Below are 18069 nucleotides of genomic sequence, written 5' to 3'. Positions count from 1 at the left end.
TGCCAGCCTGAGAAGCAGCAGATGGGAAAAATGTTCTATTGAGACCTTTAAAAGGTGCTAGACTTTCAGCTAATCTCTTGAGGATCAGACAAAGGCCTGGAGAGGGAAAGGGATTCTCCGCAGAATGTAGATTTCCCCCACAAGAGACAGCTTTGCAGGGCCATTTTAAATATGACAAATAAATATATTTTGTGGTAAAATATTTCCATTTCCTTCAGGGTCGGCTGTCTGTCATGATGCTATACTAGAGTCAGGTTAGAATTTGGTAGCTTATTTCTACAGAGTCTGTTTCGTCAGCCTTAAAATCTCTTTTTTGATGTTATTGCTGCTCAGTTATGCCTGAATTCTGAAGAAAGGAGAGTGTAATGAGGTTTGTCCAACCCCCTCTTCCCATCATGATCTGAACCAGAATTTTTAGGTTTCTTTGAAATCCCCTTGGCTGAAAGGAGGAGTCCGCTCAGTCAGTTGTGGGGTTTAGAATTTTATTTTTGGTTTATAAGGGAAATACAGAATGATTGCTCTCCAGCAGTAAGGGCACACTGAGTTTGTTGGTTGTACATTTTAAAGAGGTTCTATTCTTGCTTGTCTCACTCCCTCAACTTCACAGAAGCTCCTGTATGGCAGGTGGATGTTTACTTTATCCAGAACTATAGACAATGAATTAAATGAAAGAATAAAAGGTGTACACGAGGGTGTAATTATAGTGGCTGAGCATGAGTATGGTATCGGATGAGGCAAGAAAGGACACCAGTGGAGTGAGGCAGATTAGTTCAGCACAGGCCTTCACACACACACACACACACACAAACACACACACACAAACACACACACACAGCAGGGACTAATAAATATTGTTTGAGGGTGGAATATATACACTTTCCCAAGATGGCATAGGAGATGTGCTGTGTCTGGCTTCTTTTTCAGACAAAGCCCACAGATGAGAAGGGAAAGGCATTTGCTTCCACATGTGCATGATTTTTTTTTTTTTTTTGAGACGGAGTCTCGCCCTGTCACCCAGGCTGGAATGCAGTGGTGCGATCTTGGCTCACTGCAATCTCCGCCTCCCGGATTCAAGCGATTCTCCAGCCCCAGCCTCCCACGTAGCTGGGATTACAGGCAGGCACCACTACACCCAGCTAATTTTTGTATTTTTAGTAGAGACGGGGTTTCACTGTGTTGCTCAGGCTGGTCTCGAACTCTTGACCTCGTGATACGCCCGCCTCGGCCTTCCAAAGTGCTGGTATTACAGGCGTGAGCCACTGCGCCCGGCCGTGCAGGATTTTTTTTAAAGCTTTGTTGTTATTGTTAGTTTTCTGAGTTTTTGTCCAGCTTTATTGAGGTGTAGTTGATAATTATTGTATACTATATATTTACAGTGTACAACTTTGTTCTCGTAGATGTATTCATTGTGAAATAATCATCACAATCAATCCAATTAACATATTCATCACCTCAATTTTTCTTTTTTGTATGGTGAGAACACTGAAGATCTACTAATAAGAGTCCTTTTTTGCCTGTCTTTGGAAGGAGACTTCAAGATTTCAGAGAACCCAGATGAATGAAACTTGCTGAGTCTCCTTACAAGATCTAATATTCACATTCAGCTTAAGATTTCAAAATGTATTCTTACGAAAGAGATATGGAATTATGCATTTATCCTTCTAAAAAGCTGTGCATACAGATCTAAACTATTTAAAAATTAATCTCTGAAGTTCCAAGCATCACCAGTGATAAATTTGCGCCTTGCATCCTGTGCTTTTCCAGAATGTTTTTCATCCCCCACAGGCAATGGAGCCCCAAAATACCTCCACTGTGACTAACTTTCAGCTGTTAGGATTCCAGAACCTTCTTGAATGGCAGGCCCTGCTCTTTGTCATTTTCCTGCTCATCTACTGCCTGACCATTATAGGGAATGTTGTCATCATCACCGTGGTGAGCCAGGGCCTGCGACTGCACTCCCCTATGTACATGTTCCTCCAGCATCTCTCCTTTCTGGAGGTCTGGTACACGTCCACCACTGTGCCCCTTCTCCTAGCCAACCTGCTGTCCTGGGGCCAAGCCATCTCCTTCTCTGCCTGCATGGCACAGCTCTACTTCTTCGTATTCCTCGGCGCCACCGAGTGCTTTCTCCTGGCCTTCATGGCCTATGACCGTTACCTGGCCATCTGCAGCCCACTCCGCTACCCCTTCCTCATGCATCGTGGGCTCTGTGCCAGGTTGGTGGTGGTCTCCTGGTGCACAGGGGTCAGCACAGGCTTTCTGCCTTCCCTGATGATTTCCAGGTTGGACTTCTGTGGGCGCAATCAGATTAACCATTTCTTCTGCGACCTCCCGCCACTCATGCAGCTCTCCTGTTCCAGAGTTTATATCACCGAGGTGACCATCTTCATCCTGTCAATTGCCGTGCTGTGCATTTGTTTTTTTCTGACACTGGGGCCCTATGTTTTCATTGTGTCCTCCATATTGAGAATCCCTTCCACCTCTGGCCGGAGAAAGACCTTTTCCACATGTGGCTCCCACCTGGCTGTTGTCACTCTCTACTACGGGACCATGATCTCCATGTATGTGTGTCCCAGTCCCCACCTGTTGCCTGAAATCAACAAGATCATTTCTGTCTTCTACACTGTGGTCACACCACTGCTGAACCCAGTTATCTACAGCTTGAGGAACAAAGACTTCAAAGAAGCTGTTAGAAAGGTCATGAGAAGGAAATGTGGTATTCTATGGAGTACAAGTAAAAGGAAGTTCCTTTATTAGGTAAAGAAAATTGCACAGAACATGCAGTGGATTAAATTCAGGGTTAAGTGAATGGTAGATTCAGACCTTTAAACCTGAAGATCATTGTCAGAACTGCATTGAATTCTGTAGGCCACAAAACAACAGCTTTTTGAGGGTTCCTCACTAGCAACTGGTCAGAAGATAAACTGCCTCCATCAAACCATTTTGAGGTCAGTTTTGTCCTAGACACTTTCTAACATCTTGTTAGGAAAATCTGATTGAATTCCAGTGGATGGTGATTACACACACATTACTTTCACATTCTACAATAAGATTTCCCTTTGTTTACATAACCTTATGTACAGAAAGCTCTGCATCTTTTAAGTACTCTTAGTAGACTGGCCTTGTGGACCTAAAACCTGGTGGGTGCCATTGGTGCTTATTAAATAGCAGTAGAAAGAATAAATAAAAAAAAGAAGACATTTAAAATGTTTGTTGACCTACATTATCTCCTAAAGATAAGAAAGAAGTAAGGCCTTTGAAGTGCCAAATATTCATCTACAAGACCTTAGATGTTTTAGTGTTTTTTGTTTAATGAAATTGTGGGAAGGAAGGGAGGGAGGGAGGGAGGGAGGAAAGGAGGGAAGGGAGGGAGGGAGGAAGGAGAAGATCCTCAGTATTCTGTGCTACTGTGAGTCCTGAGAGTCAGAGGATGTCACTAAAATGTTTAAATCACTTTTTATTTTCTTGAGACAGAGTCTCACTCTGTCGCCCAGGCTGGAGTGCAATGGCACGATTTTGGCTCACTGCAACCTCCACCTCCCAGGTTCAAGCGATTCTCCTGCTTCAGCCTCCTGAGTAGCTGGGAATACAGGCATGCACCACCAGGCCCAGCTAATTTTTGTATTTTTTTTTTTTTTAGTAGAGATAGAGTTTCACCCTGTTGGTCAGGCAGGTCTTGAACTCCTGACCTCAAGCTCCACCCGCCTCGGCCTCTCAAAGTGCTGGGATTACAGGGGTGAGCCACCGCGCCCAGGCTCTTAAATCACTTTTATAGTTTATTTTATTCAGCCAGTTTAGAAGATCTCTACAAATCCTGCCCATTGTTTGATTCATTAATTCTACAAATATTTTTAATCTCATGAAGCATGCCACGTCCTGTGCCACAGTCTGAATTTCCCGGAAAGACAATGACATAGAAAGGACCAAGCAAGCCAGGCACAGTGGCTCACGCCTGTAATTCCAGCACTTTGGGAGGCCAAGGTGGGCGGTCACCTGAGGTCGGGAGTTCGAGACCAGCCTGGCCAACATGGAAAAACCCCGTCTCTACTAAAAATACAAAATTAGCCGGGCAAGGGGCATGCCTGTTATCCCAGCTACTAGGGAGGCTGAGGCAGCAGAATCACTTGAACCCAGGAGGCAGAGGTTGCTGTGAGCTGAGATCATGCCATTGCACTCCAGCCTGGGCAACAAGAATGAAACTCCATCTCAAAAAAAAAAAAAAAAAGAAAAAAGAAAGAAAGGGCCAAGCAAGACTTTACCTTAATAGACCTTCCAATGCAGAAGGGAGGAGAAAAATGTAACAAATCATAAAGCAATGATTGATTTATTTCTACTTGTGATGATCACTATGAAATAATAAAGTGAGGCCGGGCGCAGTAGCTCACCCCTGTAATCCCAGAACTTTGGGAGGCCGAGGCGGGCGGATCATGAGGTCAGGAGATCGAGACCATCCTGGCTAACACAGTGAAACCCCATCTCTACTAAAAATACAAAAAATTAGCCAGGTGTGGTGGCGGGTGCCTGTAGTCCCAGCTACTCGGGAGGCTGAGGCAGGAGAATGGCGTGAACCCGGGAGGCGCAGCTTGCAGTGAGCCGAGATTGCACCACTGCACTCCAGCCTGGGTGACAGAGCGAGACTCCATCCCAAAGAAAAGAAATAATAAAGTGCAAGCTGGAGCATGAACACAGGACGACAAGTCTGAGTCAACATACATGATTAGGGAAGCTTTCTATGTTATGTAGCACTTCACCTACGCTTCAAGAGTGAGGAGAACAAGAGTGGAGAGTAGTCCAGCTAGGGCATGGCAGAAGAAGGCTGAGGAACTGGGGAGATAGAGGAAGGAGCTCAGTCTGGAGAGAATGGTAGGGGCTAATCCATCTCTGTCATTAAAAACCTCATAGGGTTTTCAGATCTTGCACTAAGGGAAATGATTATCAAAACATACTAATTAGGGAATGACATGATATATTTTGCATGTGTGAATTCCATTGCTGTGTAGAGAAAAGACTAAAAGAGAGCAAGAGCTGTTGGGGTCATTGCAGTAGCCCATGCAGGAGCGGAAGTTGGTTTGATTTTAGGTTTCATGATGTAATCCATCACAGGAAGTACCTCATGGATGGTGAGGTTGGGAGTACCTGTTCCGGTCTCACTCGTTCCAGTGCAGTGGTCCCTGAGCCTCAGGGTTCAATGCACTTTCACCCTCTAGCTCATGTAATTTCCCCCACCACGTGTCCTTGGGTTCTTTCACCTGCCTTTTTCTAGCCCTCACATTTTCTCTCCTTTCTGGGATTTGACCTGTGAGAAATGTCCTCAGTCCTTTTTTGATTCATCTGGTTCAAATATTGGGTAGAAGGAAAGTGATGCATTAGAATCTCAGATCAGGAAATGGGTGCAGTAGGGAGAGAAGTCTCATTGGTTTCAGCTTTTCGGTAGAGTACCCAAACGATCAATATCTTACCTTGCAGATGGTCATCTCTGATTAGTATATTAGCTGTGCCTTATGTTTAACTGGACTTATGTTACTCTACCAAAAGCTTTTTCTAACGTGTTAAATTTGGTGGTGCAGGGCTCTGCATACGGAGAGTAAAAAATTATTGATCCACATATTAGGGACAGTAAGAAATTACACCAAAAGAACATTTGGATGTATGGATCTGGAGCTCAGAGGAGGGGCCTGGCCGAAAGTTAAAAATTTGGAAGTTTTTAACATATAGATGATATTTGAAAATATGGAAACAAATTCGATTTTTTCAGGAAGAGTGCAAACCAATATAATAAGAGAGTGAAGAACAGAGCACAAAAGAATTTTAAAACATTAAATTTAATTGAAGGAAAAGAAACCCCAAAAGGAGCTGGCAGGAATGACCACAGAAGCTGGGGGCACTTGTGAGGTGGCTGCATTTCTCTAAGAGGTGAGAGTGTTGTGAGAAGGAAGAGGCACAGAGGTTGGGGGGCACTTATGAGGTGGCTGCATTTCTCTAAGGGGTGAGAGTGTTGGGGGAAGGAAGAGGCAGTCAACATGGAAGATGAGGATTAAAGGGTTATCATCAAACTTCTCATCACAGACTTCAGTGTTGTTCCCGGGAAGGGCAGCATGATTGGCATCGGGGTAGTGCACATCAGACTAGTGGCAATGGGGCAGGAATGACTTGTAAAACAATGGAAGCAATTGTGTGTGAAACAGTTATCCTGAGACATGTAATTCTTCTTCTTCTTCTTTTTTTTTTTTTTTTTTTTTTTTGAGAAGGAGTTTTGCTCTTGTTGTCCAGGCTGGAGTACAATGGTGTGATCTCGGCTCACCATAACCTCCGCTTACCGGGTTCAAGCGATTCTCCTGCCTCAGTCTCCCCAGTAGCTGGGATTACAGGGGGGCGCCAATACGCCTGGCTAATTTGTTGTATTTTTAGTAGAGACAGGGTTTCTCCATGTTGGTCAGGCTGGTCTCGAACTCCCGACCTCAGGTGATCAGCCCGCCTCGGCCTCCCAAAGTGCCGAGATTACAGGGGTGAGCCACCGTGCCCGGCCATGAGACACATAATTTTGAAAGGTTGAAAGAAAAAATTGTGTTGGAGGGGCAGTTGTACTTTTGTAAGATGTTAGCATCTAAGTAAGTTTGAACACTTATGGGAAAGGTCCATAGTGATAAAAAATAAATCAGAGGAATCAATATAGAAAGTGATGACTGATAGCCTGAGATAAAACAAGAAGGCATCTTGTTCAAATGTGGAAATACCAACATTCAGTACGGGAAGTGTTTTCTTTAGTGTAGGAGGCAGAAAGGAGAGGATCATCGTAGTCTTATGAGGATTTAAAGAAATGGAGATAGGGCCAGGCTCAATGGCTCGCATCTTTAATCCTAGCACTTTGGGAGCCAAGGCGGGAATATGGTTGAGCCCAGGAATTGGAGACTAGCCTGGGCAACAAAGAATGACTATGTGTCTACCAAAAATAGTAAAAATTATCTGATCATGGTGGCATGTGCCTGTAATGCTAGTTACTCAGAAGGCTGAAGCAGGAGGATCACTTGAACCCAGTAGGTAGAGGCTGCAGTGAGCCATGACTGTGCCACTGCACTCTACCCTGGGCAACAGAGTGAGACCCTGTCTCAAATAAAAAAGGAAAGAAATGGAAATGGCACTTGTACAATTTCCCACCTGAGGAGTTACATGACACATTTTCGTGACAAGGCCAATTGTTCTTATTTACCATAGACAGTGTAGGTCAGGATTTGAAGAAAGTGGCAAAGGCATTCCATACTCATCTTGCAGAGTGAGACTGACAGCTGACTGAAGACACAGAGGTGGACTTGCGAGCAAAAATGAAAGCTTAGTTGAAATAGGGTATGATTGATTTATTGTAATACTAGCTTGCCTGTGTACTTTTATCTCTTTTTTTTTTTTTTTTTTTTTTTTTTTGAGACGGAGTCTTGTTCTGTTGCCCAGGCTGGAGTGCAGTGGTGCAATCTCGGCTCACTGCAACCTCCGCCTCCTGGGTTCATTCTCCCTGCCTCAGCCTCCCGAGTAGCTGGGACTACAGGCACCCACTACCACGCCCGGCTAATTTTTTATCTTTTTTAGTGGAGACAAGGTTTCATCACGTAGACCAGACTGGTGTTGAACTCCTGGCCTCAGGTGATCCGCCTGCCTCAGCCTCCCAAAGTGCTGGGATTACAGGGGTGAGCCACCGTGCCCGACCTCTCTTTTGCATTTTAAGCTTTTATATTTAGTATATTTATTCTAGCAAACTGCATAGGGCTTTGTATTTCAATCTGATATTTATAACAGTAAAAATTAATATATTCATGTTTATTGATACAATTCTTATTGTTGCAGATTCATAATTCATATTTCCATTTTTTGTTTTCTAAAATTTGTTTTATTTCTCATTGTGTAAACAGATTGTGTTTCTCTCATTATTCCCACTTTTCTTTGTTGAGATAATAATGCTCCACTGATGCCAAAGTTATATAATCTTACTATAGTTTATACGGTTCTACTTATTTTAATATGATAATTTTAATTAATTAATTTTTTATATGTTTGAGACAGGGTCTGGCTGTGTCTCACACTGTTTCCTACGCTGGAGTGCAATGGCACGATCATAGCTCATTGCAGCCTCGACCTCCTGGGCTCAAGCAATCCTTCTGCCTAAGCCTCCTGAGTAGCTGGGACTACCGGCATGTGCCACCACACCCGACTAATTTTTAAATCATTTCTAGAGGTGGTGCCTCTCTATGTTGCCAGGCTGGTCTCCAACTACTGGGCTCACACGAGCCTCCCACCTTGGCCTCCCAAAAATGCTGGGATTACTGACGTGAGCCACCGCACCAGCCTATGATAATTTTTAAACTTGAGAATTCTTTCTGTAATTCACAAGTTTGCAATAATACCAAATTATTGCAAATTTTTGCTCCATATGGGCAATGTTGGCACTAATCTACATCAGCAAAACCTTGTCTCAGAGACTTTTTTCATCTCCAGCTAATTGAGACACAAACTTTTATTCAAACATTTAGTTGATCCTATCAAAGATAGTTTTGTAAAAGATTGAAAAATTATCAACACTTTTGCAAATATTTATACTTTATTTCTATAGTGCTTTTATACCAACTGCAAGATTTTGAATAAATTAACCTCCATGTGCTTCCATACAAGGCAAAGATAAATAAAAGTTAGAAAAGGGGGATATGTTTAAACTTAAAGAGACAATAATTTTCAGTGTGTGAAGGAGGGTAAACTAATTCACCTGTAGTTTTCCACCCTTACTGGCAGTTGGAGCAGTTGGAGTTCCAGACTCCTAGGTGCTCAAGTGCCTCTGTTATAATTGGCTGCCGTGTGCACCTATGGTCCAATGTGACACTGGAAGCCATAGCTGCCCCACTGACTTTGAACTGGAATCCTGAGCCCTCTACATGTGCTCGCAACATCCCAGGCAGCTTAGTCCCCACAAGGTAAACATTGAAAATAAACTGCTATGATATTTACAACTACCAAGTACATCTTTTATTGCTCCATTTATTAAAACACGTGACAAATTTGTTAAATATGTTAAATATATTAGACCTAGGAAATATAGGTCAATATGTTAAATATATTATTAGATCTAGGAAATACAAGTCTACTAATATATTTAACATATATCCTCCCCCTCCCAAGAATTATGGAATATAAAAAAGAAAGACAGATTTAGAGAAGTTGATTATCATATAACTTAATCTGGATTTTATAGGAAATATTGCACTCAACTATAATTTCAACCATGTTGCTCAATTTTTTTAGAAACAAAAAAAGGGGCTAAAACTATTTCTTCTCACTTTATCCTGAAGTTTGTAATTTGATAAGTGAATTACCTTGTTTGTTCTATAGCTCTCTTTATAGTAAAACGAGATATGAAGCATGGAAAGGGGAAATTGGACATTGGTGACTGAGTTTATTCTTGTGGGGATACCAACCACCAGAGCCCTTGGGGGCCTCCTCTTTGTGATTTTTTATCAGCCTATTTGGTGACAGTCCTTGGAAACACCCTTATTATTATCCTGATTCTTGTGGATTACAGGCTCCACTCACCCATGTATTTCTTCCTCAGCAATCTCTCTTTCAGTGAAACATTAACCATAACCTGTGCTGTTCCTAAGATGCTGGAGGGCTTCCCGTCGGAAAGGAAGAGCATCACAAGTGGCGAATGCTCTGCACAGTCCTATTTCTATTTTCTTTCCGGATGCACTGAGTTTATTCCTTTTGCTGTCATGTCCTATGACCGCTATGTGGCCATTTGCAGTCCTCTTCAGTACCCTGCAATTATGACCAGCTCACTCTGTGCCCACCTCGTCATCCTCTCCTGGGTGGGTGGCTTTCTCCTCATGCTCCCATCCACCATCCTCAAGGCAGGACTGCCACACTGTGGTCCCAACGTGATTGAGCACTTTTTCTGTGACAGCGCCCCTCTCCTCCACCTGGCCTGTGCTGACATTCGTGCTATTGAGCTGTTGGACTTTCTCAGCTCACTGGTCCTGATCCTCAGCTCCCTCTCACTCACAGTGGTCTCCTATGTTTACATCATCTCCACCATTCTGAAGATACCCTCAGGCCAAGGTCAACGCAAAGCCTTTGCCACCTGTGCCTCTCACTTCACGGTGGTCTCCGTGGGCTATGGGATCTCCATCTTTGTCTATGTTCACCCCTCACAGAAGAGCAGCCTGCACCTCAACAAGATCCTCTTTATCCTCTCCAGCATCATCACACCCCTCCTGAATCCCTTCGTCTTCAGTCTGTGGAATGAACCCATGAAAGATGCACTGAAGGACGCCTCGGCCGGAGGACAGAGCTTGCTCAAAGGGGTAAGGTCCACATGAGGATTCTCTGAGAATCCTCTTAGTCCTGGATGTATTCAGCTTCATCAATGATGATTCTAACAAAGTCCTAAGACATTTGTAAATGAATAGATGATCTTAGTTATGAAAAAATTTCCAGTTTTCATAATGAAATGTACCAGGTTTTGTGCAATTTAAATTTCCAATATTGTGTTTCATTAATGAAACTTCTCGTTATAGGTGGTAAGAGGATGTGGTGGTGGGTAAGAGTGTGTGCGTATATATATTTATATATATTTTTTTCATATCTATGCACTGTGGAAAGGAAAGTTTTCAGAGCACGTCTCCTCTCAACACAAATACACTTAAACAAAAATTCATCCTTGGAATATAATTTCAGAAGTTGTATTATGGGCTTAAACTCTATATTACTTTGAATATAGGTCATTAATTTTTTAATTTATCATTTTCATTCATTTTTACTAATGGCATTTGCTTTTTGGATGAGCAAATGGAAAATGTCTAAATAAAGTGCTTAAAATATTTCTGTATATTGATTTGTTTTCTATCTTTCACAGTTTAAGTACAAGTATTTTATAATTTAGTATTAAGGTTATTCTGAAAAAATTAATTGCCAACATTTGTAATGAGCGAGGCAATGAAGGAATACATGATCATTGGAGAAAAATAACAAAAAACAAAAAAATGAAGAAAATGGATTTGTCAAGGACAAAGAGGAAAACATTTTTGTACAGTCAGAAAATAATTGTTTGGGAATTGATAGTATCAGAAACTTTGAGAGCGAGCATGCTGATATAAGCTTCGGGAAACGTAGTGCACATCTAAACTGCTAACAGGGATAACAGAAAAAAATGGAAAATTGAACATGAAAGTAAAATAATATAAATTTTCTAAGCTGAAGTATAAAAGGAAAAACAATACAGAAAAATGAGCACACCAACAGGGAGTTTTGTCACAGTAGAACATTCTCTAACTTATGTATAATTGCAGTCACACTTAGAAAGGATTAGAGAAACTGTGAAAGAAAACGAATATACAGAACTAGTAACTAAATAATTCCCAATTTGTATTTAAAAAATCCTAGATTTCAAAAAAAAAAGATAATAAAACCCAAACAATACAATAAATAACATCTTGGCACGTACTAGTCTGTTTTAAACTAAACCTCAAAATAAAATTTAAAAAGAACCATTAAAAAATGACACATTGGATGCTGGGGGAAAAGTTTAAAAATAATCATTGAGTTTTCATCAATAACAATGGTAGGCACAGGACAACTGAAAGACATGTTTTAAAGGCTGAAAGAATAAAATGAGCAAATATATAAACAAAAAGCCATGGAAATCAAACATCTATATCCTCCCAAAGCTGTGATATAGAATAATAACTTTTCTTTTTTCTTTTTCTTTTCTTTTCTTTTCTTTTCTTTTTTTTTTTTGAGACAGCATCCTACTCTGTTGGCCAGGCTGGAGTGCAGTGGCGTGATCTGGGCTTACTGCAACCTCTGACTCCCGGGTTCAAGCGATTCCTTGCCTCAGCCTCCTGAGTAGCTGGGATTTCAGTCACGCGCCACCACGCCCAGCTCATTTTGTTGTATTTTTAGTAGAGACGGGGTTTAGCCATGTTGGCCAGGCTGGTCTCAAACTCCTGACCTCAGGTGATCTGCCCGCCTCAGCCTCCCAAAGTGCTGAGATTACAGGCATGAGCCACCGCACCTGGCCAGAATAATAACTTTCTGATTAGAGCCATAAGAAAGCAGAAAGTATTTGTCACCACACATGTAGATAATAAGTAATATTAAAAGGTATCTACAGGTAAATAGGAAATGATTACCAATGGAAAATTGTATCAATTAAATGAAACAGAATGCACCAGAAATGGTTATTAAGTTAGGTCATAACAAAGACTTTGCTTTATTTTTTCTTGTAATTTAAAAAACAAGAGACTGCTTAAAGCATAAACAGCATGAAAATGTAATGTGGAATAAATAGAAGTAATATATATGACAAAAATTGTCTAATAGTTATTACATTTTTGGAATAGGAAATGTGACTAGGAAATAGGAAACAGGATGCAGGAAGTCTAGGTCTAGACATTTTTACTGTTGTTTTCGGAAGGAAGAAGGATGAACTATAAAGTGTGGTATAGTTGTAAAATATGAACTATTATAGATTTTAATAAATTAAATATACAATATTAGCTTTAAAGCAAGTACTAAAAATAATAGTAATATTATGTAGTATACCTAAAAATTCAATAGGAGAAATGAAAGGAAACACTAAAATAATATGTTAACAACAACGAGAGAGGATAGGATAAACCGTGAAACAAAAGCAATTAGGATGAATGGAAAATAAATGACACCCAAGGATGTGCCAATAAACATATATTTATAGATCAGTTCTCTCTGGGAGAAAGAAACCAGTTGTTGAGAGACTCCTACCCTCTGCGCAACAAAGAAAACATCCACATCAGAAGGGTAGGAAAAGCTGAGGCACACTCCAGCATGGACCCCGCTCCAGGCACTGTGCCACACAATCAGGAAGGGAATCCTCAACACTCAGCTCTCCCCTGTGGAGAAAAGAGTTCGGACCTCACATATATCACCCTAACTCTAAGGTCCCCCACGGCATGGCTCTTAATTCACCATCTCTGAGAGCAGAGGGGATTAGGCATGAGCAAGTCTCTCTATAACACAAGAAAAAGAGAGGCAGTTTGCTATTGATACGGCTGTGGATGCGTTTCCAGGGGCTCCACCCTTTGGGAAAAGAGCTCGGCGTTTCTCCCCAAAAACACACTCTTCCAATGGCTTCTCAGTTCCATCGTGAATTTGCAATGACAGACAAATTGTAGCCTGCTGGCATCCTGAGAGGAAAATCAGCACTTCCCATGCCTTCTTCCTGGGCTTGCCTCAGAGATAAATCCAGATCTATTCATCTCTCTTGGGAAGGAGATTGTCGAAACGTCAAATGCCTCAAGTTTTACCGCTCCCACTGGAAAGACTGCATCCTAAACTTCCTAGCTCTGGATGCAGAAGGGCCTTGGCATATGTGAGTCATCTTAGATCATGAACAAAGAGGTGGTTTTAAACAAGACTGCAAACATTTCCATTTTGGGGGCTACACCTTTGAGAGTAGTGTTGCAGAAAAAGGGCTGGGACATGCAGCTCTAAATCTCTCCTAAGAGGTTTACAGCACACATTTCCAGTAGATACTTGACAGCCTGACAATAAACTTGCATTGAAGAGCTAACAGGGCAGACAGACAATAGCCCTCTGGCTGCCTGAGCCAGGGCTAAGAACTTCCCAAGCCTTTCCTCTGGCCCACCTCAGTGATAAACCCAATCTGTCCATTCTTCCTCGAAGGAGCTTATCCATGCATCAGGTGCTACAACTACTATAGCTCACACTCAAGTGACTATCTCTTTCATGACCTAGCCCTGGGAGTCAATGAAGTTTTGCATTCCTGTGGCCCTAGACCACAGAAAACAAAGAGGTGGACATACAATGGGCTAATTTCCAAGAGCCATCTGCTCTGTATCAAAGGGTGCAGTATGAATGTGCACACAGGCATTTGCCACAGATCCCCCCAGCTTAGTGCAGAGAGTGGAAAAGCCCATGTTCACCTTCAACATGAGGATAGAAAGAAATCCAGTGCACAGCCAAAACCCCAGCCTTTCCAGTTATAGCTAGAGGGTCTGGCTTCAAGTTTATTTCTCTGCTTCTGTGAGTTCAATTGATTTAGATTCCACATATAAGTGAGAGCATGTGGTTTTTCTCTTTCTGTGTTTGGTTTATTTCACGTAGCATAATGTTCTCCATTCCCATCCATGTTGTCACAAATGACAGAGTTTCTTCCACTTTGAGGATGACATGCCACATTTTCTTTACCCATTCATACCTTGATAGATACTTAGGTTGATTCCAGAACTTGGCTGTTGTGAATAATGCTGCAATGAACACGGGAGTACAGACATCTCTTTGACATATTGATTTTCAATCTTATGGGTAATTACCCAGAAGTGAGATTGATGAATTATATGGTAGTTCAATTTTTAGTTTTCTGAGGAACCCCCATTATGGCTGTACTAATTTACATTCTTACCAACAGTGTACAAGGGTTCCCTTTTCTCACATCCTCACCAACACTTATCTTTTGTCTTTTTTTATTATATCCATTCTTACAGGTGTCAGGTGACACTTTGTGGTGCAGAAGATTTTTATTTTGATGTAATCCCATTTGTCTATTTTTGATTTTGTTGTTTGTGATTTGACTTTTGGGGTCAAATTTAGAAAAAAAAAAACAACATTGCCCAGACCAATGTTATATAGTTTTAACCCTACATTTTCTTAGTAGTTTTACAGCTTCAAGCCTTATGTCAAGTCTTTAATTCATTCTGAGTTGACTTTTGTATATAGTATGAGATAAGGTCTAATTTTATGCTTTTGCATATGGATATCCAGTATTCCCAACACCTTTTATTGACTGTCCTTTTCCTATTGTATATTTTTGGCACCTTCGTCAAAAACTACTTGACTATGGGTGCATGGGCTCCACTTATTTCTAGGCTCTCTAAACTGTTCCATTGATTGATGTGTCTATATTTACACTGTCACCCAGGCTGGAGTGCAGTGGAACAATCTCAGCTCACTGCAACCTTCGCCTCCCAGCCTTAGGCAATCCTCTCACCTCATCCTCCTGAGTAATTGGGACTACAGGCGCATACCACCATGCCCAGCTAATTTTTGTATTTCTTTTTGTAGAGATAGGGTATCACTATGTTTCCCAGGCTGGTCTCGAACTCCTGGTCTCACGTGATCCTCACGCCTTGGCCTCCCAAAGTGCTGAGACTACAGACATGAGCCACAGTGCCCAGCCTGGTTATCTGTTTTTTGAATAGTGACCCTAACACGCTTTTCCAGTTCCAGTAACTTTTGAGAAAATTTTTCAGCAATGTCTTTATCTAGATCCATCTTCTGGGTCATTATGTAATTTCTTCCAAAGCCAGTGGTGGCACTCAGATATTTGATCAGAGGATTGAGAGATTCGAGCTTTTGGTGGAAAAGCCATACCAGTGATTCTATTCCATTGTATGGTGTCAAAGTGAATGCATCTGCAAAAAAGCGAAGCAGCCATATTAGTGGCATCAACAGTGTCCAACAAAGGGAGCCAGAAATCTATATGTCAAACTGGTGAATGCTCTACCTGGACATACTACATTGGAATAGATACCCTGCAGGTTGAAGTTCCTGTTCAAAGCCACACTCAGAAGGTCAGTGGCATATCTGGAAGAGCTGTAGGGTTCCTTGCCTTTGCTTGGCTTGGCAAAGATGCTTGTCGGCATCTTTGATGCTGAAATTAGATTTCCTTGCATTGCGAGACGATGTCCAGGTAAGTTGAGATGGATTGTCACCATGGTGAAGAGAGGCTCCAGTTCCTGAATCAGGATAAAACGGCCAAAGACATTGTTCTTAAACACCTCCTGAAGTCCATTAGCAGTAATCTTATCATCCTGGGTCAGCAGGCCTTCAGCTATGGAGAACATATGAATCACTTTTCTTCAAAAGAGGCCAAAGAAGTGTTTTGACATTTAGCTGTGGACTGGGCATGATCCCAGCATTTTGACTTATATATAGTCTAATTTCTGAAACCTTTGCTTAAGTCACTTGGAGGCCCAGAAAACTGACTGCAGGTAGCTGACATGGTGGTGGGGTGAGAGGCCAGCGGAGCAGCATGGACAGCTTCTGTCTTACTTCATGTTCCTGCACGTCAAACAGATGAAGCTCATCATCTTCCACCAGCAGCCGCTTTCAGAGGGCCAGGCCAATGCCACTGCTTGCCCCGGTGATCAAAAACACCTTTTGCATCTTCGTGCCTGCACACTTCCAGGCCTAAATTAATTTTCAAGCAGTTTATGCTATGATGATGATATTCAGTTGTAACCTTGACTTTAGCCAAATACTGGTTTTAATGAGTGCTACCATGTGTATTTGGATCCCATTTATGAATTGTTAAAAAATAAAATAAAATCTTGATTTTTTGGATTTATTGTGTTGCCATCTGCCCATATTGTAAATTTTACTTTCAAATGATTAAAATTTTTATTTTTTGGCTTTAACATTTTGATTTATTAATATTAATGCACATTACTGTAATAACTTTATTACCTACAAAAATACTGAAACGTAATAAAAATCAATTATTTTAGTTAGGAAATTAATTAGACTATTTAAAAGTAGTTCTTAAGACAGTATCATTGCTAACTTTTTGTTGACTTTGAATAATGTAATAAAAATCTTTTAGTAAGTTAAAATGTTAAATCGGCCAGGCGCGGTGGCTCACATCTGTAATACCAGCACTTTGGGAGACTGAGGTGGGCGGATCACGAGGTCAGGAGATCGACACCACCCTGGCCAATGTGTTGAAACCCTGTCTCTACTAAAAGTACAAAAAAATTAGCTGGGTGTGATGGCGTGTGCCTGTAGTCCCAGGTACTCGGGAGGCAGAGGCAGGATGATCACTTGAACCCGGGAGGCAGAGGTTGCAGTGAGCTGAAATCACGCCACTGCACTCCAGCCTGCCGACAGAGCGAGACTCTGTCTCAAAAAAAAAAAAAAAAAAAAAAGTTAAATCATGTCTCAAGACTGTATGTATTCAAATTCATTTAGTCACAATTACTCATGATTATGCATTTTATCTCACTTTGAGTTAGTAAATTATTTTATATTCTTATCTCTTTATATAATGGACCTCAAAGAGTTTCTTATTCACATAATTATAGTTGTGAACTATAAAATATGTGAACACTTTTCTAATTTTTTAAGATTTGTTTCAAAGTTCTCAATTTGGAAGAAGTCCATACGTTGCAATTGTTGAACTGAAAATATAAAGAAACATGCACCATATATTTAAAAATTAACTTGAAAGAATAAAAAAGTTTAAGAAATAAAGTATGAGAATAATTATTGACCACACAGATTTGGAGAAAGAGCCAAGTAGAACTTCAAATGTGGAAGCAGATTATTGTTTAAAATGAAATTCCTATAAATTTTAATAAAAAATTATTACATTGAGATAATTTTCCAGAACATTTAACAGAGAATAGAAAAATGAAATTTCACAAACACACACATACACAAGAAGTCAGGAATAAGTTAGGAATATAAGAAACGAAAAAGAAAATAAGAATCAAAAAGAAGGATGAGAGATAATGTCTTAGGGGTAATGGCTGATATTTTTTCAAAATTGTGAAAGGTATGAATTGAAGAACAATTTATCCTGACCGGATAGATAACAAATAATCTACAGATTGTGTGTAGAATGTGTGTGTGTGTGTGTATATATAATGTGTGTGTGTATATATATGTGTGTGTATATATATGTGTGTGTATATATATACACACACATATATATACACATATATATACACACATATATATACACACATATATATACACACATATATACACACACACACACATATATATATATATATATATATATATATATGCCCAACTGGATCCATTGTTAACTCTCCTCCAGCCTGCACTGTGGCCTGTAGTCTAAGTTTTCTGGACTGTATCAGCAAAGTCACTGTCCTTGGCTTCTGGTTAGATCAGGCCAATGAGGAGAATTTGCAGAGCAGATAGAATTAAGTTCTGTTTAGGGAATTTAATCTTCGGTTCTGTTTTTGTGAAAGTCTCTCAGGTTGGTTGCATAATCTGATTGAAGCTTTCATC

At 40.8% G+C, this 18069-nt stretch overlaps 1 protein-coding gene and 2 pseudogenes across 1 annotated transcript; 2 read left to right on the top strand and 1 right to left on the bottom strand.

Annotated features, from left to right (window-relative positions):
• The first annotated feature begins 1788 nt into the window (after window positions 1-1788).
• Window positions 1789-2757, top strand: OR11L1 (olfactory receptor family 11 subfamily L member 1). The gene has a single exon (NM_001001959.1). It carries the CDS (start codon window positions 1789-1791, stop codon window positions 2755-2757), a length of 969 nt encoding a protein of 322 aa, NP_001001959.1.
• OR6R1P (olfactory receptor family 6 subfamily R member 1 pseudogene) lies at window positions 9440-10368 on the top strand (annotated as a pseudogene).
• Window positions 14940-16221, bottom strand: HSD17B7P1 (hydroxysteroid 17-beta dehydrogenase 7 pseudogene 1; annotated as a pseudogene).

The sequence above is a fragment of the Homo sapiens genome, chromosome 1, assembly GCF_000001405.40.
Source record: "Homo sapiens chromosome 1, GRCh38.p14 Primary Assembly".
Lineage (NCBI taxonomy): Eukaryota > Metazoa > Chordata > Mammalia > Primates > Hominidae > Homo > Homo sapiens.
This window is presented reverse-complemented; position numbering and strand designations above follow the sequence as displayed.

Bases quoted from the DNA above. Each gene is read 5' to 3' on its own strand.
- OR11L1 (NM_001001959.1), top strand. From the start codon at position 1,789: ATGGAGCCCCAAAATACCTCCACTGTGACTAACTTTCAGCTGTTAGGA.